Source organism: Homo sapiens, chromosome 4, assembly GCF_000001405.40.
Source record: "Homo sapiens chromosome 4, GRCh38.p14 Primary Assembly".
NCBI lineage: Eukaryota > Metazoa > Chordata > Mammalia > Primates > Hominidae > Homo > Homo sapiens.
Genome location: NC_000004.12, coordinates 151,829,218 through 151,851,202, shown reverse-complemented (window position 1 = coordinate 151,851,202; position 21,985 = coordinate 151,829,218). Strand labels below are relative to the sequence as shown.

Below are 21,985 nucleotides of genomic sequence, written 5' to 3'. Positions count from 1 at the left end.
TGCGATAGGAGTGAAGGAAGGGAACACCCAGCCCTGCCTGAGGCAGCTCAGAGGATCAGCCAACTACTGAACACAGAGCTCCAGACTGAGATCCGTGGCAGGTCAGTAAGGTTACTTTGTAGTCAAAGAAGGGCATCCTTAGCATAGTCATTTGAGTGGCAGGGAAGAAAGAGTTGCCTGTTGCTCCTGTAAGCCCTGACTCTTTGCTCAACATTATGGAAAATTACAGCCTACTTGGTGGAGATCATTTCTCCCTGATATGGGAAATCATGTTCCTGTGAATCACTCCACACCCCACAGCCACTATTTTTCATCACATATGAGCTATTATTTCCAGCTGGGTGTTGACAAGACAAAACTGTTCCCTAATGCTTAAGTAATAGAGTGGAAAATAGTTGACAAAATATGAAAATGTTGATTTTGATTATACATACAATCTCTTCTTTTAAGAACAAAATGTACTTGAGCAAGCATGAATCATTCCTTACAGGGCTGTGAAGTGATTTATATATATTTAGATAGTTATTTAATTGGTTGGTTTTAAAATAACAACTTTATTGGTTTTTTGCATACATGTTATAAGAACTCAAGATATATACAAAAAATCAATGCATTACTCAAATCCCACTACCAACAATTCTAGTGTTAATATATGATGAGCACCAATTCAAACATAATTCTATCTATAATTGGGTGAAGGAATGGATAATGGACAAAAATAATTTTATAAGAATGTCATCATGTTATGTTTCTCTTCAAAATAAAAATACTGAATTTAGTTTTGCATGAACTTATTAGGAGACAAAAGAAACTAAAATGAAAATAAAGGAAATGCTAAAATTCATAGAATTAATTCATATTAATTCATTGAATCCACACACACAAAAAAAAAACCCAATGAAATATTGACTATTATTATCCCCATTTTACAGATGAGGAGACTGAGGCACAAAAAATGTTACTTAAGTAACTTGCCTAAATCACAGAGCTAGTAAGTGGCAAAGCCAGGATTCAAATTCAGGCAGTCTGACTTTAGAGTCTGTGGCCTTGAAAGCTTTCTTCAAGAAGGTTCTGGGTGCTATATTCCCTGAGCACTATTACATTTGCAAATGCTCTCCGTGTTGCCTTCACACATGGATAAAAATTTGACCAAATAAAAATATTCCAGGTCATGGTCCTTTTCCTGTGTTAGCTATTTTCCTAGTGTTCTCTGGTGCTGGGAGGTGATGGGGAGGAATCTGCAGCCCCTTAATATTTTTCCCCTTTTACTTTTTCTGTTGGATGGCCAAAGAATTCTTTATCTTAGAGGCTGATTATCTTAATCACTGTATGACTCAATGTTGTTCATTCTGCATCAATTGTGCCTAGGATACAGTTTCATCTTTCAAGTGTGTATTAGTCTGTTCTTGCACTGCTATAAAGAACTATCTGAGACTAGGTAATTTATAATTCGTAAAGAAAAGAGGTTTAATTGGCTCACAGTTCTGCAGGCTACACAGGAAGCATGGTTGGGGCAGCCTCAGGAAACTTACAATCGTGGCAGAAGGCAAAGGGAAAGCAGGCTCATCTTTCAAGGCCAGAGCAGGAGAAAGAGAGAGGGAAGGTGCTACACACTTTTAAACAACCAAATCTCATGAGAACTCTATCACTTCTCATGAAAACAGCACTAGGGGGATGGTGCTAAACCATTAGAAACCTCCTCTGTAATCCAATCACCTCCCACCAGGCCCCACCTCCTTGTAGCAGAGATTACATTTCAACATGAGATTTGGGCAGGGACACAGATTCAAACCATATCAAAGTGCTGATTCAGTCCTGCTATCACTTCAGGAAAAGTTTCCTGTATTATGTTTCTCAATATTTTTCCTGTTTTATTTGTTGGGTTCTTATCATGAATATCAAATATCCTTATATTGAATTATCTTTGAGCTTCTTAATTAGTAGCTAATTCTTTTTCCTCTGTATTTGCTGTGATCCCAAGTGCTATAATTAATATGATTTTTAGTTATATCTACTATCTCTTTCTATTTCTAAGTTACTCAGAATTTTATTTTGTTCCTTTAGTTCTTTGGTATCCTGTTCCATCTTATTTTGTTGTTTTATCATCTTTATTTTGATATTTTGTTTTATTTAACTTGTGTTCTTATTAAGTTCTATATAGCCCAATGCACTTACAAGGAATCTTCTTGCTGTTTTGGTTTTGGGTTCCTCCCAGACAGGATTTTTCATATGTTTTTAACATACATTATTTTCTTAGAATATTTTATTGAGATTGTGTGATTTATTTTCATCTTACTTATGCCTAATATGGACAATTCTGAGTGATTGTGTATCGCTTCAGTGGAATACAGTGTGGGTGAATTTCCCTTGTCATCCCCCTGCCTTATATAGACTCTTTATCTTCCCCACCCTGACCCCATTTTCAAGTGTCCATCTGGTGGTATTTAGTACATTCACATTATTGTGTGACCATCACCTCTATTTAGTTCCAAAGTGTTTTCATCAACCGAGAGAAAGCCCTGTACCCACTGAGTAGTCACTCCCCATTCCCTGCCTCCCCACCCATCTGCTTTCCATTTCTATTGCGTCTTATTTCCAATCCCCTTCTCTGTAGCCTGAAAAGGTGGGGATAAGCAAGAATAGTTCAGCCGGGCCTGAGCACAGTCCTCGCTTAGAGCCCAGTTCCACTCCTTTTTGAGATGAAGCTAACTTTTTACTGGTGTCCAATTGATCTAGCCGAGAGTACAGTCCACTCCTCTAGATCTCAGCTTGTTCCTGCAGCTCAACATATTGACCTGATAGCCCTTTCTGCCTCTAACAAAGCCCCCAGGGTCAATCACGGAGAATTCTTTTCTCAAGGACTTTTTCTGGAATTTTCCCAGAATTGTTTACTCACTCCTTCAATCTGTTTCTCTTGAAGCTGGAGAGCATTGGTGAGAGTCATCCGGTTTCCATTAATTGGCCATCCTTCCTGTAAAGGGCTTGGCTTTGGGGAGAGGGAGGGAAAGGGGCTGTGAGGTCAGGAGCCCTGTTCAGCTCCAACAGCATCTTCTGTTTCTTTTTGTAGCTGCTACTTCTTGACACTTATGGCATAAAGTTGTTCCTCCTTCCTTGTTTATTTGGTGCTGGGAAATCGATCAATTAATCTCTCACTCACTCATGCTACTTTCTGAGCATTTTATTAGATGGTAGGGAAAAGAGATTCTATGATTACTACTACATTTTTTCATCCTTGTTTGGATTTTTGAAACAGAGAAATTTTCTGCCCAGCTTACTGTATTTCTTAAAAGTAAGGTAAAATTCACATAGTAGTCATCATGTTAACCATTTTCAAGCGTCCATCTGGCAACATTTAGTACATTCACATTGTTGTGTGACCATCACCTCTATCTAGTTCCAAAGCATTTCCATCAACTGAGAGAAAGCCCTGTACCCCACTGAGCAGTCACTCCCCATTCCCCGCCTCCCCACCAATCTGCTTCCCATTTCTATTTATTTGACTATTCTGGCTATTTCATACAAATGGAACCATGCAGTATGTGATTTTTTTTTTTTTTTGGTCTGACTTCTTCTGTTTAGCATAATGTTTTCAAGGTCATCAATATTGTAGCGTGTCTCAAAACTTCATTCCTTCTGTGGCCCAATAATAAAAACTAATTATATGAATATAACACATTTTGTTTATTTAGACATCCATTGATGGACATTTGTATTGTTTTCATCTTTTGGTTATTTTGAACAGTGCTGCTATAAACATGTGTGTATAACTTTTTGTTTGAATACTTGTTTTCAGTTGTTTTGGATATATACCCAGAAGTGGAATTACTGGGTATACAAAATTGCATGTGGTAATTCTCTGTTTAACTTTTTGAGAAACTATCAGGTATTTTTCCATGGCATTGGCACCATTTTACATTTCTACCAGTAATGTGCAAGGGCTCCAATTTCTCTACACCTTTGTCAGCATTTGTTATTTTCCTTTATTATTATTACGTTATCCAGTTCACTTTTTAATATTATTAGACTAACATCCTGGTAAGGATTTATCAAACCTTGGTCCCCTATTTACCTCAGTATTTCACATATTGGTCCCTCTGTTAGCCAGAGCAAAGCCATTTGTCATGCCTTACACAGACATTTGTTGACTAAATCACTAAATATTTATTGAGTACCTACTGCATGCCAGATTCTGATTAGACAGTGGGGATAAAGGAGTGAGGGACACAGGGTCACCTTCAAGTTGCTCATTAGAGAACAGAAGAGACAGACATTTATTAGTTTCCTGTCACTGCCATAACAAATTACCACAAACCTAGTGACTTAAAACAACACAAATGTGTTATCTTGAAATCCTCTAGATTAGAAGTCCATCATAGGTCTCAAGGGGCTAAAAATCAGCATGTTAGCAGGGCTGTTTTCCTTTCCAGACACCTTGGGAAAGAATCTCTTTCCTTGGCTTTTCCAGCTTCCAGAGGTTGCCTACTTCCCTCAACTCATGGGCCATTTCTTCACCTGCAAAGTCAGCATTGAAGCTCCTTTCGATTGTCACGTCTCTTTCCCTTACCACAGCTAAGGAAAGTTCTCCCCTTTCAAGGATTCATGTGATTAGGTTAAGACTATTTGGAAAATCTGGGATAATCTCCTCTTCTAAAGGCCTTTAAAAATCCCTTTTGCCGGATTCCCTATTTAATAAATAGTGTTGGGAGAACTGGCTAGCCATATGCAGAAAACTGAAACTGGACTCCTTCCTTACACCTTATACAAAAATTAACTCAAAATGGATTAAAGACTTAAACATAAGACCTAAAACCATTAAAACCCTAGAAGAAAACGTAGGCAATACCATTCAGGTATAGGCATGGGCAAAGACTTCATGATTAAAACACCAAAAGCAATGGCAACAAAAGCCAAAATTGACAATTGGGATCTAATTAAACTAACAAGCTTCTGCACAATAAAAGAAACTATCATCAGAGTGAACAGGCAACCTACAGAATGGGAGAAAATTTTTCCAATCTATCCATCTGACAAAAGACTAATATCCAGAATCTACAAAGAACTTAAACAAATTTACAAGAAAAAAACAACCCCATCAAAAAGTGGGCAACGGATATGAACAGACACTTCTCAAAAGAAGACATTTATGCAGCCAACAAACATATGAAAAAAAAGGTGGGAGTGTAAATTAGCTCAACCATTGTGGAAGACAGTGTGGTGATTCCTTAAGGATCTAGAACCGGAAATGCCATTTGACCCAGCAATCCCATTACTGGGTATATACCCAAAGGATTATAAATCGTTCTATGATAAAGAAACATGCACAAGTATGTTTATTGCACTCTGTTCACAATAGCAAAGACTTGGAACCAACCCAAATGTCCATCAATGATAGACTGGGTGAAGAGAATGTGGCACATATACACCATGGAATACTATGCAGCCATAAAAAAGGTTGAGTTCATGTCCTTTGCAGGGATATGGATGAAGCTGGAAACCATCACTCTCAGCAAACTAACACAGAAACAGAAAACCAAACACCGCATGTTCTTAACTCATAAGTGGGAGTTGAACAATGAGAACACATGGACACAGGGAAGGGAACATCACACACCAGTGCCTGTTATGGGGTGCGAAGATAGGGGAGGGATAGCATTAGGAGAAATATCTAATGCAGATGATGGGTTGATAGGTGCAGCAAACCAGCATGACACGTGTATACTCATGTAACAAGCCTGCATGTTCTGCACATGTATCCCAGATCTTAAAGTATAATTTTTTTTAAAAAAAAGTCCCTTTTGCCATGTATGCTAACATATTCTGGGGTTTGTTTCAGAATATTCTATTACAGGTTCCAGCAATTAAGGACTAGGGTGTGTACATCTTTGTGGGGCATTATTCTGCCTACCATAGACATGTAAACAAATAATGACAATAAAAAGAGCTGACATTTATTAAGAGATTACTGTATGCCTGATACCCCTCTAAGGATTTTACCTGGATTAACTCATTTAGTCCCTACAATATTTCTATGAAATAGAAATTATTACTACTTGGATTCATAACTGAGGAGGACGCTGAAGTACAAAGAGGTAAAATGACTTGTCTGAGGCCCCACAACTGGTCAATCGCAGAGCAGGAATTTTAACCCAGCAATCTAGCTCCAGAGCCTGTGCAACTGAAAAGAGGTCCTCTACCTAATAACACTGGGAACCCTTGTCCTACAGCGTGGAGTCTTTCCTAATCAGGCTCCCGCCTTAGGTCCTGGCTGGCCCTCCCACTCCCTCAGGTGTGGCTGTGCACCAGTCAGGGAGGTGGTCCCATGAGCCAGGCTCCAGAGCCAAGCTAGGCTTGGGGCTCCCAACCAGGATAGCCAGGAGCCCTTAAAATTTTGTGAATTCTGACATATTTGTTGTCTTTATGTCTAGCCATTGATTGAGAAAATATATAATGGCAAAAAGACCCATTAAATATCGACACTCATTTATTAAAGTATCTCTTATTGATCAGTATATTCATATTTTTAAAATAAGACAAGATAGGTCTACAATCTCTTACCCACAATCTCGAACTTCACAAAGCACTGAAAACAGGATTTTCTTTTGGTTACTTTGTCACAGACTAATTTTTTGGGACAAAACCTGACCTGAACTAACATGAAGCTATTTATAGTCTTTCTTTATCCCATTAGTAGTGAACATTCCCATCTTTAACTGCAGAACTATTCATGTGTTGGATTATAGGGTACTGCTCAGACTCTGCTGGGAATATTATTAATATATGGTATATATATATTTATATATCCTATTACCTTTCTACAACTTGAACTGACTTCCAAAACACATTTGGTCCCCAAGGTTTGAAATAAATACTTGTGGACCTGTAGGAGGTACATGTGTAAGATGTGTTATTTGTTTAGTCTATAATCAGTGCTTAGTGTACACACAAATCCATTGACACCTTGCAATAAGTTCCCTCATGGGCACAACAAGCTTCCTGGCCTACTTTGCAGTTTTACCTAGGGTCTTTTGTCCTAATTTAAAATGCCTGACTACCTAATCCAGGAACTACCTCATCTCCTAAAGGCTAGTACCCTTCCATTTAAAATAAATACTATATGACTCCAATGCATTTAAAGGAAACATTTCAATATAATAAGAAGCTACCATGCTGCAACTACAGTATAACATAGAATGGCTTATAATCACCATGTGGAATTATAGAGAAGAGTAGGTCACTGCAGATTATTTATTATAGCATGACTTACACAGCGACAAAGAGTCAAACTCCCTGGCGTGGAAGGCTCTGATCCTCTGATCCTCTGATCCTATGGAGCACGGCAGAGAGAAGGAGCACTGGCTTGAGGTACATGGATCCTGATTCTAATTCTGCCTCTGTCATCTCATGCTGAGTAATTGGTTCAAGGGTTGCTTTTCCATTCTGGGCCTCTATTTCCTCGCTTATGAAAGGAAAGGAAATGGGTTTGATTAACGCTGCAATGCTAGATCCTGTGATTCTAAGGAGCACCCTTTGGAGGGCATATATGCCTTCAGGATCACAAATTCTAATAGCATTCCAGACCCTCATTTTTAACCCCAGTCAGCTGCCTGTAGAATGAAATGTATGTTTTACATAGATAAAGTTTAAAATTTTTACCAACTAATACAACATGTTCATTTATATGCATGTTATAACTCATAAATAACCAAAGGAATCAACAGTTTATCAAATGTTTATCTGAGGTCAGTGAGTGGACAACTCTTTCTTACTTTGTCTGGGACTGTTTCTGAGAAGTCATCCCAGCTCAGAGTTGCCCCCCAGTGATGAGCTCATTAACTCAGTACTTGCGTGCATTGAACACTGTGCTTGGGAGAGGAGAAGGAACGGAGGTTTTGCGTTTATTAGCTTGGGGTACTGAGTAGCTATGTAGATATTATAGAATAATAGTAGCTGCTGTCCCCCTGGGTCTGATAATGATGGAAGGAGTTGTTGATTGGCATGTCAGTTGATTCCCACCCCTTTTTGATGTATCACAAATAATTAAGTTATAATATTGATGGTAAGGAGATTATTCTGGAATCAGGTTTTGTTTGTTTGTTTTAAAATCAGAATACTGATTTTAAACTGACCATCTGAATGTAGAAAAGCATCTCATTATAATTGCCTCTACCTAAAGAAGTGGGCTTCACTCAGGGGTGGCAGCACTAACCATCAGACCCAATTGGTCATGCACCTGGCAGCAAGCTCAGGGCCTCTCAGCAAGCTGGGGGTGGCTAGGCTGTGGCCTCCTTGGCACTGTCTGTGCCCTGCCTAGAATAAGCAGAGGACATCAGCTGCCCCAGAATATGATTCATGGCCAACTCCAGCGCCCTCTGCACCCTCTCCACAGCTGCAGAGGGACAATTGGGCACTAGTCTCAGCCACATCTGGCCAACAGACCTCTCTATGAGATTTGCCCACTCAGAGAAGCAGATGGCAGGTGAGACAGGTTGAGTTTTTGAGGCACATGGCTCTCTTGGCTCTCTGAACCTTATGATGGCTGGCAAATGGGGACCTGGGCGTGCTTTGGGGAGTGAGAACCTACTGAGCAGAAGAGCTGCCTGCCACAGCCCTCGCTGGGAGCCCTGGCTGCTGCCTCACCTACTCTCATCTTTCCCACGTTCTGATTTCCCAGGTAGTTGGACAGCACTGCTGGCTTCTGGTACCAGCCTTTTCTTGCTAAAAATCCATTCCTGGGATCTGTGCTAGAATTACCCATGAAGGTCAGGGATTGAGTGGATTTGAGAAACTGGCACAGGGTATATCCGAAGCTTGCTGGTATGTTTGTTGAGAAACACTTTCAGTCCTCACTCCTAGGGCCTGATTCCTTTCTGCTCCTTGGGGACCAGGCAGAGGCAGCTCTCTGGTCTACACTGTAAAGCTCCACTGTAGGCCTGGTTAATCCTCCACCTGTTACTATCACCCAAGACTGTTAACTTCCCTCTCTCTTCTTTTTTTTTTTTTTCCTTGTTTCAGGCTCCCTCCTCCCTCAGGTACCCAAGATTCTCTTTCCGTTCTCTTCTTTTTCTGCCCCACGAGTGAGGCATTTGCTGGAGGACTCAGTCACTTCCTGGGAGATTTGGGTGATTTGAGATGTTCTTCATCTGAGGAAGATGTACATTTGAAGAGACCCAGGAAAAAGGGCACCACTTACCTCTGAGGAATAAACCAAAACCAGTGACATTTCAGCCTCCAGAGATGAGCCAAAGAGAAATTACTTTCAGATTGGAGCTGCCATATCTTAAATCAAACCACAGAGACAGATCCTCCTTCTCTACACATAAGCCTGTACTGGTTGATCTGCAAAGTGGACTTGAAAAACTGGGAATGAAGCCCAGGCTCTTTATGCTCTGAGGCTGAAGCTGGATTGCAGTGGCTGGTGGGAAGGCTTGGCGGGCAGGTGTCCTGGTGGACCTTTGCCCCCTCTTTTTTCCCAGACATTCTCCTCCACTGGTTCCCTCTAAGAGGAGTGTAGGAGTATGTTTGCCTTCTGCCATGGCCACTGCAAACCTGGCTCCTTGCTCATGCTGGGCTGCAGTGGGGAGAGGGAGTGACACAGGCTGCTGTGGGGATGCTGCACAGGAGGCTGTGGCAGGAGAAAGAAAGGTGATGGAAACAGTGATCAATAAACTCCATTCATCCCCTACCCTTGCCCACTGGCCCAGATGTTGAAATAAGTGGATAATCAAAGATAAACCCAAAAGGGGGAGGGGGTCTCCTGAGCTACTTTTAAAGCTGAATCTGCCCCGTCCCCTTCCTCCCATGTAACATAGACCCCTCTGGGTGATCTGCTTTGACTGGAGAGGGAGCCAGGGGCAATCCGGGGAGGCAGTGCGGCCACGTGGAACGGTCTTAACATCGCCACATACAGAGCAAGGAGGAGGACCTGAGGCCATCTGCCTTATCCTCCAGAAGGCCACTTGCTGTGTCTGTACCCAGCTTGTTACAGAAACGGCAGGTCATTTTCCTCACCAGGCTGGAGCTGGAGAAGGAGCTCAGGGGAAGGGGCAGGCAGCGCCCTTCCACGGGCTGTCAGGAGCAGAGGGCAGACTTCCTCGGGGTGCTTTTGATGGTTTGTTTTCTACATGATTCCTCTCCCTCTATCAGCCATTCTCTTTGTTAAAGGGAGTTACTTTCTGGGCTGGATTTATTGGCTATATCTAGAATCTATTTTCTCCGAAGGTGTTGTGGCAGATTCCCACTCTTACATTCTATCCTGTGGTGTAAAGAGATCTGAAACGGACAACGAACTGGAAGAAATGTAAAACCTAAGAGAAAACTAAGCAGAATGATACAGGACAGCCAGGTTCTCCCTGAGTCAGATTATTCCCACTACTGGTGCGGCTCTTTGGCAGAAAGAAGGATTTCTCAAATCCATTCCCCTCACAGTCCTGCAGAAAACCTGATGAGCGAGGCTCTCTTATGGGTTAAAAAAGTTTTTTTTTTTAAATCTTCTCCATTTCCTTAATGTAACAGATTCAGCCCATTTGTGGGAAATCCCAGCCATGTGTATATCCAAGAGGCAAAGTCTAGATTTGTGGGATCCCACTCATTTATGCAGTAAACACTTTTATGTTTGGCCCTGGAGATATGATGTGTTGATGGATTGGATTGGATATGAGGGATGTTTGTTCAGTCACCCCATCGAATTGTGAACATCCCAAAAGTAGCAAAAACAAAAAAAAACCTTCAAATCTGTCCATTTCTCTCCATCTTTACTGATATCATCTCCGTCAAAGCCACCATTATCTCTTATTTGAGTTACAATATGGCCTCCTGTTGTACATTAGTTAGTACATAGAAATCTTTCCAAGGATTTCCATGGCATCTAAAATGAAATCTGAGCTCCCTGACATGACTCCTGTTTGGGACCTTGTTTTTTTCCTACCCTCCTCTCATGTCACTAGTTGTGTTCCAGTTTCCTGAAAGACAATTTTTCCACAGACTGGGGGTGGGGAGGATGGTTTAGGGATGATTCAAGCACATTACATTTATTGTGCACCTTATTTCTATTATTATTACATGGTAATAGATATAATATTACATTGTAATATAAATAATTGTACAATTCACCATAATGTAGAATCAATGGGAACCCTGAGCTTGTTTTCCTGCAACTAGATGGTCCCATCTGGGGGTGATGGGAGACAGTGACAGATCATCAGGCATTAGATTCTCGTAAGGAGTGTGCAGCCTAGATCCCTCGCATGCACAGTTCACAATAGGATTCATGGTCCTATGAAAATCTAATGCGGCCACTGATCTGACAGGAGGCAGAGCTCAGGCAGTAATGCGAGCGATGGGGAGTGGCTATAAATACAGACAAAGCTTCACTCGTTTGCCTGCTGCTCACCTACTGCTGTGCAGCCTGGTTCCTAACAGGCCATGTACCAGTACTAGTCAATGGGGTTGGGTTCCCCTGCCCTACTGCAGTGGTTTTTTTTCTTCTTTCTTTCTCAAATATCCTCTAATAGAATTTTGAAAAACTAATATATCCCTTATCTTAGTTCACTTTGTGCTGCTGTAACAGAATACCCTGGACTGGGTAATTTATAAAGAACAGAAATGTATTCTCTCACAGCTCTGAGGCTGGGAAGCCCAAGATCAAGGCACGAGCATCTGATGAATAGAAGGATGAATGTTGTGTCCTCACATGGCAGAAGAGTGAAAGAGAGCAACCCCCTCCCAAAAGCTCTTTTTATAGCAGCCATAATCTATCTATGAAGTCAGAGCCCTCAGGACCTAAACATCTCCCAAAAGGCAACACCTCCCATCACTGCTGCACTGAGGAGTAAGTTTCCAACACATGAATTGTGGGGGCACATTCAGACCATAACACCCTTCAACACATTTAGTATTTAAATTCTTCATTTGTAAGTTTAAATATTTGCAAAGGATGTACTTTTTTGCATTATTATTTTAAATGCAGGCTTAAAAAATCATATCACTCTTACATTTACCTAATTGAACTAAAATACTATTTTGGTGCCCATCATTTTTTAAAGTATGTAGATGTGATCTTCCCTTACAGTTCCAAGTTTTACACCATTCTTATTTCTCTTTGAACTCATATTTTTATTCTATTTTGCCCACAGAATTTTATACGAGTATAAACTTCTTGGCAATAAAATATCAATATATTATAAATCATGGTAAATAATTGTTAAGAGGCAAATTTTATCCAAAATGTAGCTTGCAATGAGATAAATGAGGCTTTGTTTTTCAATTATTGATGAATCTATGGATTCACATTACTTTTTGCTAGAATAAGACAGTTTCAGAAACGATTTTACTTCTACTTACTTTGTTTTAAAATATAATTGTTGAGATACTTTCCTCATATAAATATAGATATTTATGCATTTATGGAAGGTATGTATGGAAGGCAAATATGCATGTTTTATAGATACTAGTCAATTCTTTAAACCCTTTCTGATATTCATTCCATGAATAACAAAGTTATTCTTTCATCATAAATTATTTCAATGTCTGAGAGCTGACAACTCCATTAAGTCCTCCTTTAATGTTATTGAAAGCAAAGAGTTGAAACCCACCCAACTAACCAAAGAATTTGGTAACCACTTACTAGAATCATCTGCTTTCTTAAATGCTGACACATATACTAAAAAGTTTCTATCAAAACTTATCAAATTACTATCTTTTTTAAAACTATATAATTCCATTTACATAAATAACAAAAAGAAGGGAGAACTAATCTGTACTGGTACTGATGAGGATGGTGGTTCACCTTGGACGGTGGGTAGTGATTGGAAAGGATCACAAGGAAGGCTTCTGAACTGCTGACCTTGTTCTGTTTTCTGACCCGGGTGTTGTTACACTGGTGTGTTCAGGTTGTGGGAATTCATTGTGTTGTATGCTTGCAATCTGTGCACTTTTTTAAGCTTTTATTTCAAGTTCAGAAGTACATGTGCAGGTTTGTTACATAGGTAAATATGTGTCTTGGGAGTTTGTTGTACAGATTATTTTGTCACCCAGGTATCAAACCCAGTACCCATTAGTTATTTTTTCTGATCCTCTCCCTCCTCCCACCCTCTACTCTCTGATAAGCCCCAATGTGTTTTGTTCCCCTCTTTGTGTCCATGTGTTCCCATCATTTAGCTCTCACTTATAAGTGAGAACATGCAGTATTTGGTTTTCTGTTCCTGCATTAGTTTGCTAAGTACAATGGCCTCCAGCTCATTCATGTCCCTGCAAAGGACATGATCTCGTTCTTTTTTATGGCTGCATAGTATTCTGTGGTGTATATGTACCGCAGTTTCTTTATCCAGTCTGTCATTGATGGAATCTATCATTAGGTTGATTCCATGTTTTTGCTATTGTGAACAGTGCTGCAATGAACACATGTGTGCATGAGTCTTTATAATAGAACGATTTATATTCCTTTGGGTATATACCCAGTAATGGGATTGCTGGGTCAAATGCTATTTCTGTCTTTAGGTCTTTCAGGAATCTCCACACTGTCTTCCTCAATGGTTGAACTAATTTACACTCCCACCAACAGTTTATAAGCATTCCTTTTTCTCCACAACCTTGCCAGCACCTGCTATTTTTTGACTTTTTCATAATAGTCATTCTCACTGGTGTGAGATGGTATCTCATTGTGGTTTTGACTTCCATTTCTCTAATGATCAGTGACACTGAATTTTTTTTATATGATCTTTTGCTGCATGTATGAAATGACTGTCATTTGTACAGTCTGCTCATTCACTGAGGAGTACCTTGTTTAACCTGATACATACATAACGATTGGGAAAACCAAATTATTGCTTATTTCACTAGGCCTTTTCTAATATTTATATTTCTTATTAAATGCCTTAGTATTATCACGTTTTAAATATTTTTAATTCAACTTAAGAGATACACGTTTACCTCACTGATTAATGGAAAATATCTGCCATATAAAAGGTCCTCATTGTCAAAGCAGTTGGCCAAATCAGGCTTATTTTTTGTCACACATATCTGGCTTCATTTATTAATCCAAATAAATGTGTTGAGACATACCTCTGTAACAGCCACCTCTACAGATAGACAGGTAACCCTCCCAGCCTTACCACTGAAAAACATCGTGCCCTTGTTATTCCTTTTCAGAGTCACAGGGATCTCCTTCAGCAGGAAATGTTTCTTCAGAAATATGTGGATTATGGAAAATTCAAGGTCCTTTAAAAAAAATAGTGTACTCTGTACAGCCATAAAAAAAGGAATGAGATTATGTGCTTTACAGGAACGTGGATGGAACTGGAGGCCATTATCCTTAGCAAACTAACGCAGGAACAGAAAACCAAACACTGCATGTTCTCACTTACAAGTGGGAGCTAAATGATGAGAATACATGGACACAAAGAGGGGAGCAACAGACACTGGAGCTTTTCACAGGGTGGAGGGTGGGAGGAGGGAGAGGATCAGACAAAAATAACTAATGGGTATTAGGCTTAGTACCTGGGTGATGAAACAATCTGTACAACAAAACCCTATGACATGAGTTAACCGATACAAACCTGCACATGTATCCCTGAACTTAAGATAAAAGTTAAAAAAAAAAAAAGTAGAGGCCCGGCTGAGGTGGGCAGATCACTTGAGCCCTGGAGTTAGAGACCAGTCTGGGTAACATGGAGAAACCCCATCTCTACAAAAAATACAAAAATTAGCCAGGCATGGTGGTGCATACCTGTAATCCCAGCTACTCAGGAGGCTGAGGTGAGAGAATTGCTTAAGCCTGGGAGATTGAGGCTGCAGTGAGCTGAGATTGCACCACCTGTCAAAAAAAAAAAAAAAAAAAAACCAACCAATCAAAAAACAAGCAAACAAACAAAAGGTAGTACAAAAAAAGTAGTGTATTTCTACTTGTCCCTTTGTTTGGAGTCACAGAGTTTTTGACATCCTGGGCAATGCACTGTGGTATGTTTTGAAATAGGTGAGAGACACTTGCTTTTCTCTAGTGAAGTAGAAGGGAGACTATTAAAGGGAATATGGAAGAGAGAAACAGTCTTGTTTTCAGGTCACCACTACTTAGTTTAGAAGAAGTACATATGAAAGTTGAGGAACTGGAAATAGAGTCCCTTAAATCTAAACATGCCTGTGTATCTCTTGGAAAGTCTTCATGGACCTCTAGATTTGAAGACCAGGGCCCTGTTGCTTCCTGGAGTGGCCTAACTTGGGCTGCAGACTGAGCCAAAATCCTCCCCTATGATAGATCCAGACAGCCTCGGATGATGAGGAACCACCAAAGGTTGCCCCCATCCATCCTGCTCTGGACCTGCCTTTCTTCTCACCATGTCCAGAATATGAGCGGTGGCCACAGGAGGGGGACTGCTGTGGGACCAATTACTGCTGGATGCTTTGTGTTTAGGAGCAGCCGTTCTGTTCACTGAGATGGCTCCATCTTCTTGGAATGGGTAAAATGGGGAATGTGCTGACCTCCTGGCATCTGCATTTTCAGCTCAATATCAACCCAAGGGACTTGCTAATTTTACATTCAATGACTAAGTCTAAATGAGTCAAAGCAGTTGGTTTCAGTAAATGAAAACTTTACCCAGAAACTAAGTCAAAGTAGGATACAAAATAGAAATGAGATTTTGCATTTATTATCCATTGGCTTGTTAATAGTACAGTTTCAAGATGCCAAACATTTTGCATAATTATACTTAATCCTCTCAATGACCCTGCAAGGAAGCTATTATTACTTCTATCTTATAGCTGAGGAAACGGAGGCTCCGTGAGGATGGTTATCTTGCCCTGTGTCTCATGGCTAGCCAAGGGCAGACTCAGAGCCACAAATCCTTGCAGTCTCCACCAGGCTCTGCTGCCCCTGCATCCTTTGCCCACCATGGCCACCACACACAGGAAATGCAGCTGCATCAATAATAAGCAGTTCATGCATCTTTCTTTTTGGCATTCTATGCCAATTATTTAGACTTATGAGTCATGTCCCAATTAACTATAGAAATTGAATACCATGGAGAAATTCAAATCGCCTGTAATCCCCAAATCTCATTTTGGCCAACAATCTCAGCTTCCTATTCCATAAGGACTTTTAAAAGAGTTTCTAACAAGTGACAGTATTTGACAGATTCTATTTTCACCACCTTGCTTTTCCATCCCTACCCTTGGGTAGAGATAGTAGCATGCAGAAGGGATATTTGAAAGTTAAAACAAGAAGAAGGAAGAGAGAGGAGAATCCAAGGATTTAAATTACATCTGTATAAGATGTAAGATGGCTATTGTGATGTTAGTCCTCACTTTGTTAACTTTAGGTTAACACCAATTTTAAATTGTCTCCTTAGTTAAAAATATACAATCAAATGCATTGATGGGCCAGGCGTAGTGGCTCACGCCTGTAATCCCAGCACTTTGGGAGGCCTAGGCGGGCGGATCGTGAGGTCAAGAGATTGAGACCATCCTGGCCAACATGGTGAAACCCTATCTCTAATAAAAATACAAAACTTAGCTGGGTATGGTGGTGCATGCCTATGGTCCCAGCTACTCAGGAGGCTGAGGCAGGAGAATCACTTGAACCCAGGAGGTGGAGGTTGCAGTGAGCTGAGATCGCACCACTGTACTCCAGCCTGGCAACAGAGCGAGACTCCAGCTCAAAAAAAAAAAAATGCATTGATGACAGCCATGAGGCCTAAATCAAACTGCTGAGCATTAACTGAGTTCCAGTTCACAGTCAGAGACTGCAGCAGACACCTCTGGTACCCACCTTCTCCCTCCCCATCATTCTACCTCAATCCACCTCTGACTTTAGCTGTAGCTGCAGCAGACAGCCCCGAGTAAATGCCAGACTCACCTTGTTCTGTCATTGTCCATCTCAATCAAGGTCTCATGAGCCTTTCTGCAAGCCAGTAATGAGCAGGGTTCTCTGATGTCAGGGAGTACTCTGTCCACACAAATACACAGCCCCAAAGTCAGGGGCTGCTGTATGCTAATGCCCCTGGGGCAATGCACAACCAATAGGAAGGGTGCCAGTGCAGAAATGCGCCAAATTCCCATACTTCAAAGTGACAATTCTGGGACATATTTGTACACTTTTCTGGGTCCTGGTATAATCAAGACCCTGTTGCCCATAGTGTGACCTCAATAACACACTCATATATTGGATTTTCCTCCTTCCCTGTCTTAATCTGTTTTCTCACTCCTCCTTCTGAGACCACCTCCCAGATAAATAATCTGCTTCCAAGACCCTTAAACTTTGTTTTTGAAAGAATCCAAACTAAGACCCAGAATTACCAGATATTATTTACAAATGGGCCATTCTCCATGGATGCAGCTAAACAAGACAAAAATTAAACAGCAACGCAGATCATTCCAATAAGGCAATAATTCCTGACTCACAAGTGGGTAAGTCATGAGAGAGAGGGACACGTGCCCCAAGGGATGTGTATGAGTCTTTAAGGGGGCTTTTCAAACCATACTCTGAAAATTCCAGTTTATCTTTGTGGAGAGTTGCAGAATTCCCTCCCTCTGAAAGAATCACAGCCTCATCAAGTCACTGTCTTGTCACCAAGACTGATGAAATGTGTTGTGTGGGGCACAAAAAGAAGGTTGCTGCAATGACAGCTTTTTAAAGACATCATTTTTTAGATGCAATTTGGTGCTTTACTCAATAGTCTTAGCTATTTTTAATTGTAGTTTAATTTAACTCTGGCCTTTTTGTCCCCATGCTTGGCTTGTTGGAGCTAAATAAAGAGAAAGCCTAAGCTTTTCTTTCTAGCATTTGTGTTGAACTTGAAAAGCCCTTATCACTCCTCTAGGCCCCCTCTTGCTTTCTAAATGAATCAGAAGATACACATGTCATAGAATTGCATCTCTGTTCTGACAGCATAAGACTCATAACCTGTTTTTCCATTTTGTCTTTTAAAGAAAAGCAAAACTCTCTTTTCCCAGCAACTTTCTGGTAAGAATTTGCCAACTTGGAATTTGCACATAATTCCTTTAGCAACACTCTGGAACCCTGCAAAATCTACAACTGTGCAAGAGAGTTCCACATAAGAAAAAAAAACTTGCAGAGAATACTATCTTTAGTTAGAATAAAACACTGGACACAACAAATTTAAATAAGGCCTTTTGGCATATAGATTTAAACTGGCTTTATGGTAGCCATACATTTCTCAGCATTTTAGTTGCAAGCTCATGGTTGTAGAGAATGCTTAAGCCAGGAACAGTAAAACCCAACACACATGGATGGACCACTGCAGAAAATATTAGTTGATCAAAGCACTCTTTCTCACTGAATCTGAATGCAGTGTCTGTATTCTTCTCAACACAGCAGTCTGGTTGATGTTCTTAAACTACTGGAAAAAAAGTCAGAGAAGGGAAATATAAAATAATATTAAGGGTACAACCATGAAGAAAACAAAGTCTTTGCCCATGTGGAGCTAGTTTCCAGTGGGGGAAACACAAAATAAATTGATAAACACATACATATTTAATACTTGGAGCAGAGTTATCTAATGACATTCCTGTTCTCTGTTTCTCTCCCAAATTAACAGAATAATGATTTTTATCAAGGCACATGGCCTCCCAGCTAAAAGACCACATCTTCCAGCCTCTCCCGTAGCTACGCATGGCATATAAATAAATTCTGATTAATGAGATGTAAGCAGATATACTTTGTAAAAGTACAACCTTTTGGAATTTCCTCTGGCAAGTTTTTTCTAAAAGAAAAAAAAAAAGAAAAGTGGCAAACTCTTCTTTTTTTCCATCCTGCTGCTGGGAAACTGGATTTTATGGCTAGAGAGACCCAGCAGTTGTCTTGAACGTAGAGGATGAGCACCACATTGTATACTCTGTGTTTGAAAATCTGGAAGAATCTTTAGTTCTCAATAACTATGGAGGCATTCTACTGGCCCGGGGCTGTCCAACTCCATACATTATTTTTTATTAAGAAATAAAAACATTTCTACCTTATTTAAGCTACTACTTTTCAAGTTTCTGTTATAACTTAACCTAATTCTAATGGATAACTTAAAAATACGTATACATACCATACATAATATTGAACTAGACACATAAGAGTGAAATAGATGTCCAAGAGTGGATATCAACTGATTATAGAAGAGAAGCAGGCTTCAGTGTTTCAAGTGGAACAAACAATTGTAGATTTAGATTTTGAAATTTGGCAGGAGTAAAAGCACAATTTTCTTTTGTGTTTTTTTCAATTTTTTGTGGTTGTAGATTGTATTTATGGGTAGCATCATTTCTGAAAGTTGCAGTGTTTGCACTGAGTAAATTAATGAATGGTTAAGCTGCTATATTAAATTGAGGTATTGTTTTATGTTTTAAAACAGTTTACAGAGCTATAAATTTCCCATTTGCATTGGGTAGTCCAAGGAAACATGTTTCATCTGCATTCTAGCCCTCTTTGTCTTCGTTAATCAAAGCATCAGCACCATTGAAATGCCAGTGCTGCAATCCTATTCTCTTGTTTATAAGCACCAAAGCCAACCTGATTTGCATATTAGTTGGCATAAATTTGAATATTAATTTCAATAGGCATTGTCTCTAAATCCAGAAAATAAACACAGCCTGCTGCAATTATACAGATAATTGGTATTTAGGGCTCATGAGTGCCTAAAAGTTTTAAATCTTCTACATTTATACTCAGATTATTCTTACAGATACTCACACAAACTCACTCACACAGTGGTCAAATTACAGGTTGTGAACTTTATAATGAATTTATTCTCTTCATTTATTTCTAGGTTTCCAGATGTCGAAGTTTCTGGTTTGGAAGATCTGATGATCCAATTTCAGGAATATATTAGTCAGAACCACTTTTTTTTTTAAGCTACAAATGACAAAAAACTAACCTAAAACTGCTTTCAGCTAAACTGAATTTACTGGCTCGCTCAACTCGGAAGTCCCAGGGTTGTCTGCCTTTGGGCACAACTGGTCTCAGGTGCTCAAATGATTTCTCTCTCTCTACCTTTCTGCTCTGCCTGGCTCCTCTGGCTTCATTCTCATGCAGATTTTCTCTACATATGGTAGCCAAGATATTCCTGCCAGTCCCAGTCCCAAGCCTATATTTTTCCTGCACCTTAGGATTTCAGAAGAATAAAGACCCTCTTCTCTAGATCAATCCCCAGGAGAAAAAAAAATGTTTCTAGCTAACCTCAATCAAATGCCCAGCCTATATGGCTGACAGTCTTGCCAGAATCACATGCAGTGAGGAATTGTTCCCAAAAGGAAACAATGAGAATGGTCAAAAAATTAAAGAAAAAAAAAAGTAATGAAGGAAAGCATAGTCATTCATTGGCTATTACTGAAATGAGAATGAGATCAACTTTTCACTGGGCTAAAAAATCTGTGTCCCTTCTTAGCAAGTTCAGGCTTCTACCATGGGAAAACCACTAGGGAAATGGTGGTGTATACCAGTGCTTCTCAAATCTTCATGTGCAAACAAATCACCTGGAGTTTTGAAAAATGCATATTTCTGATTCAGTAAGTTTGAGGTAGGGCTCAAGATTCTGTAAGTGACACAAGTTTCCAGGTCATGCTGATTCTTCTTGTGCGTGGGCCACACTTAGAGTGGCAAAGGTGGACCTTGATCACTACTGAAATTCTGTCCGACCCCAAGAGTGCAGCTCCCTGGCTTCTTTTCTTCAGAATTGTTTCACCATCTTCACTTTGCCAGAGCCCATGGATAAAGCTGTCTTTACTGCCACCATCTGAGGGTTAACGTGGCTAAGGTCCCTGCCTTTTTTAACCTCCTCGAGCAGTTTTACTGGCTTCTGCTTTGGGTATAAAAGAATCCCTAGTGGGCAAGAGCCTTCTCTGTGACAGGCACCTGTCGAAACTGATACACTGTGCTGTGCAATTAGGCCTTGTGGCTGTTTGACTGCCTTTCAGTTTGCATTCTCCTAAATTATGGAGAGTTTAGAAAAACTGTACTACTGACAGCACTACTTTCTGGACATACAAAATTACTTTTTGCACAATTTACACCAAATTCATAAGTCTTACTCAGCATCTGGGTGTTCTTGCTCATTTAACATGCAGGTGTATAAAAAAAAAGATGTATAAGACCTTCGCTGGGATGCTCTCCAGACATAATACCCATCAGCCGCATCCCGAACAACAAGAATTTCATCTAGGCTTTCACACAGGGACATGAGAATGTGAACAACAAGTGGAACAAAGCATTATTTGGCTGAACGTTACACTTCTGTGCCTTCCTCGCTGCTTTTTTGCAGGCATAACCTGACTTCCTCGCCTACCACCTCCCCACAACTGAGCCCACATCAAACTTTCTGCTTGTTATCTCTGTGAAGGAGCAAGGGGTGAAGAAACAACCTAGCAGGATTGAGGAAAATCCCATCATGTGCTTTTCTCCAACATCTTTAATAGGTGAGTGACAATGAACTTCAAGGATGGTCTCAATGGGGGAGGAGAATTCTTGAATGGTACATGTGGAAGCAGAGAGGCAATCCTACCCTGACCTGGGAGATCTCAGGAGTTTATGGGCTGACTCTATGTAGAAGAGTATATATAAATTTTACTTGGAGAAGCTATCTCTTCCTTCTCTGCTTTTCTCCCTCTCCGAGTCACTGCCCAAAAGCAGCCATGCTGAGGAAGAAAGCAGGACATGTGGAGTTCAGGCAACACCAGCCGACTCCCTCACCACACCCCACTCCCAGCCCTCCAGTTCAGAGTTGCATGCACCACCCTCTCGCAAATATCTGTCCCGGAGTCATAGCTCAGTACACAGTGCCTAAGAAGATGAAAATGTCAGGCTAGTCAAGTGTTTGATCGCAGCCACTTGCTTGAGGTACAGGATTCAATTTCCTTTACGCAAAATAACCCATTCTTGGGAATAAAAAATTCATACCACATTTTGTGTAAATCTGATGGGAAATTTTGTCTGGGGAAATTCTTGCAACTTAAGATATGCAAATTCGCTATTTGATTGTAATGCCAACCCATGATCCAG

At 40.3% G+C, this 21,985-nt stretch overlaps 2 long non-coding RNA genes across 6 annotated transcripts in view; both read right to left on the bottom strand.

Annotated features, from left to right (window-relative positions):
- LOC127898557 (uncharacterized) overlaps positions 1 to 21,985 on the bottom strand; it is a 140,693-nt gene that overhangs the window by 88,849 nt on the left and 29,859 nt on the right. The gene's annotated exons all lie outside the window — the stretch shown is intronic.
- LOC105377488 (uncharacterized) overlaps positions 18,106 to 21,985 on the bottom strand; it is a 33,739-nt gene continuing 29,859 nt past the window's right edge. For 3 of the 5 annotated variants that reach the window (NR_183038.1, NR_183035.1, NR_183036.1), the window contains exon 4: positions 18,106 to 18,344. This is a non-coding gene — a long non-coding RNA (uncharacterized LOC105377488). Of the gene's footprint in view, positions 18,348 to 21,985 lie in introns of all 5 variants that reach the window. The other 2 variants (NR_183034.1, NR_183037.1) reach the window with 1 other exon arrangement.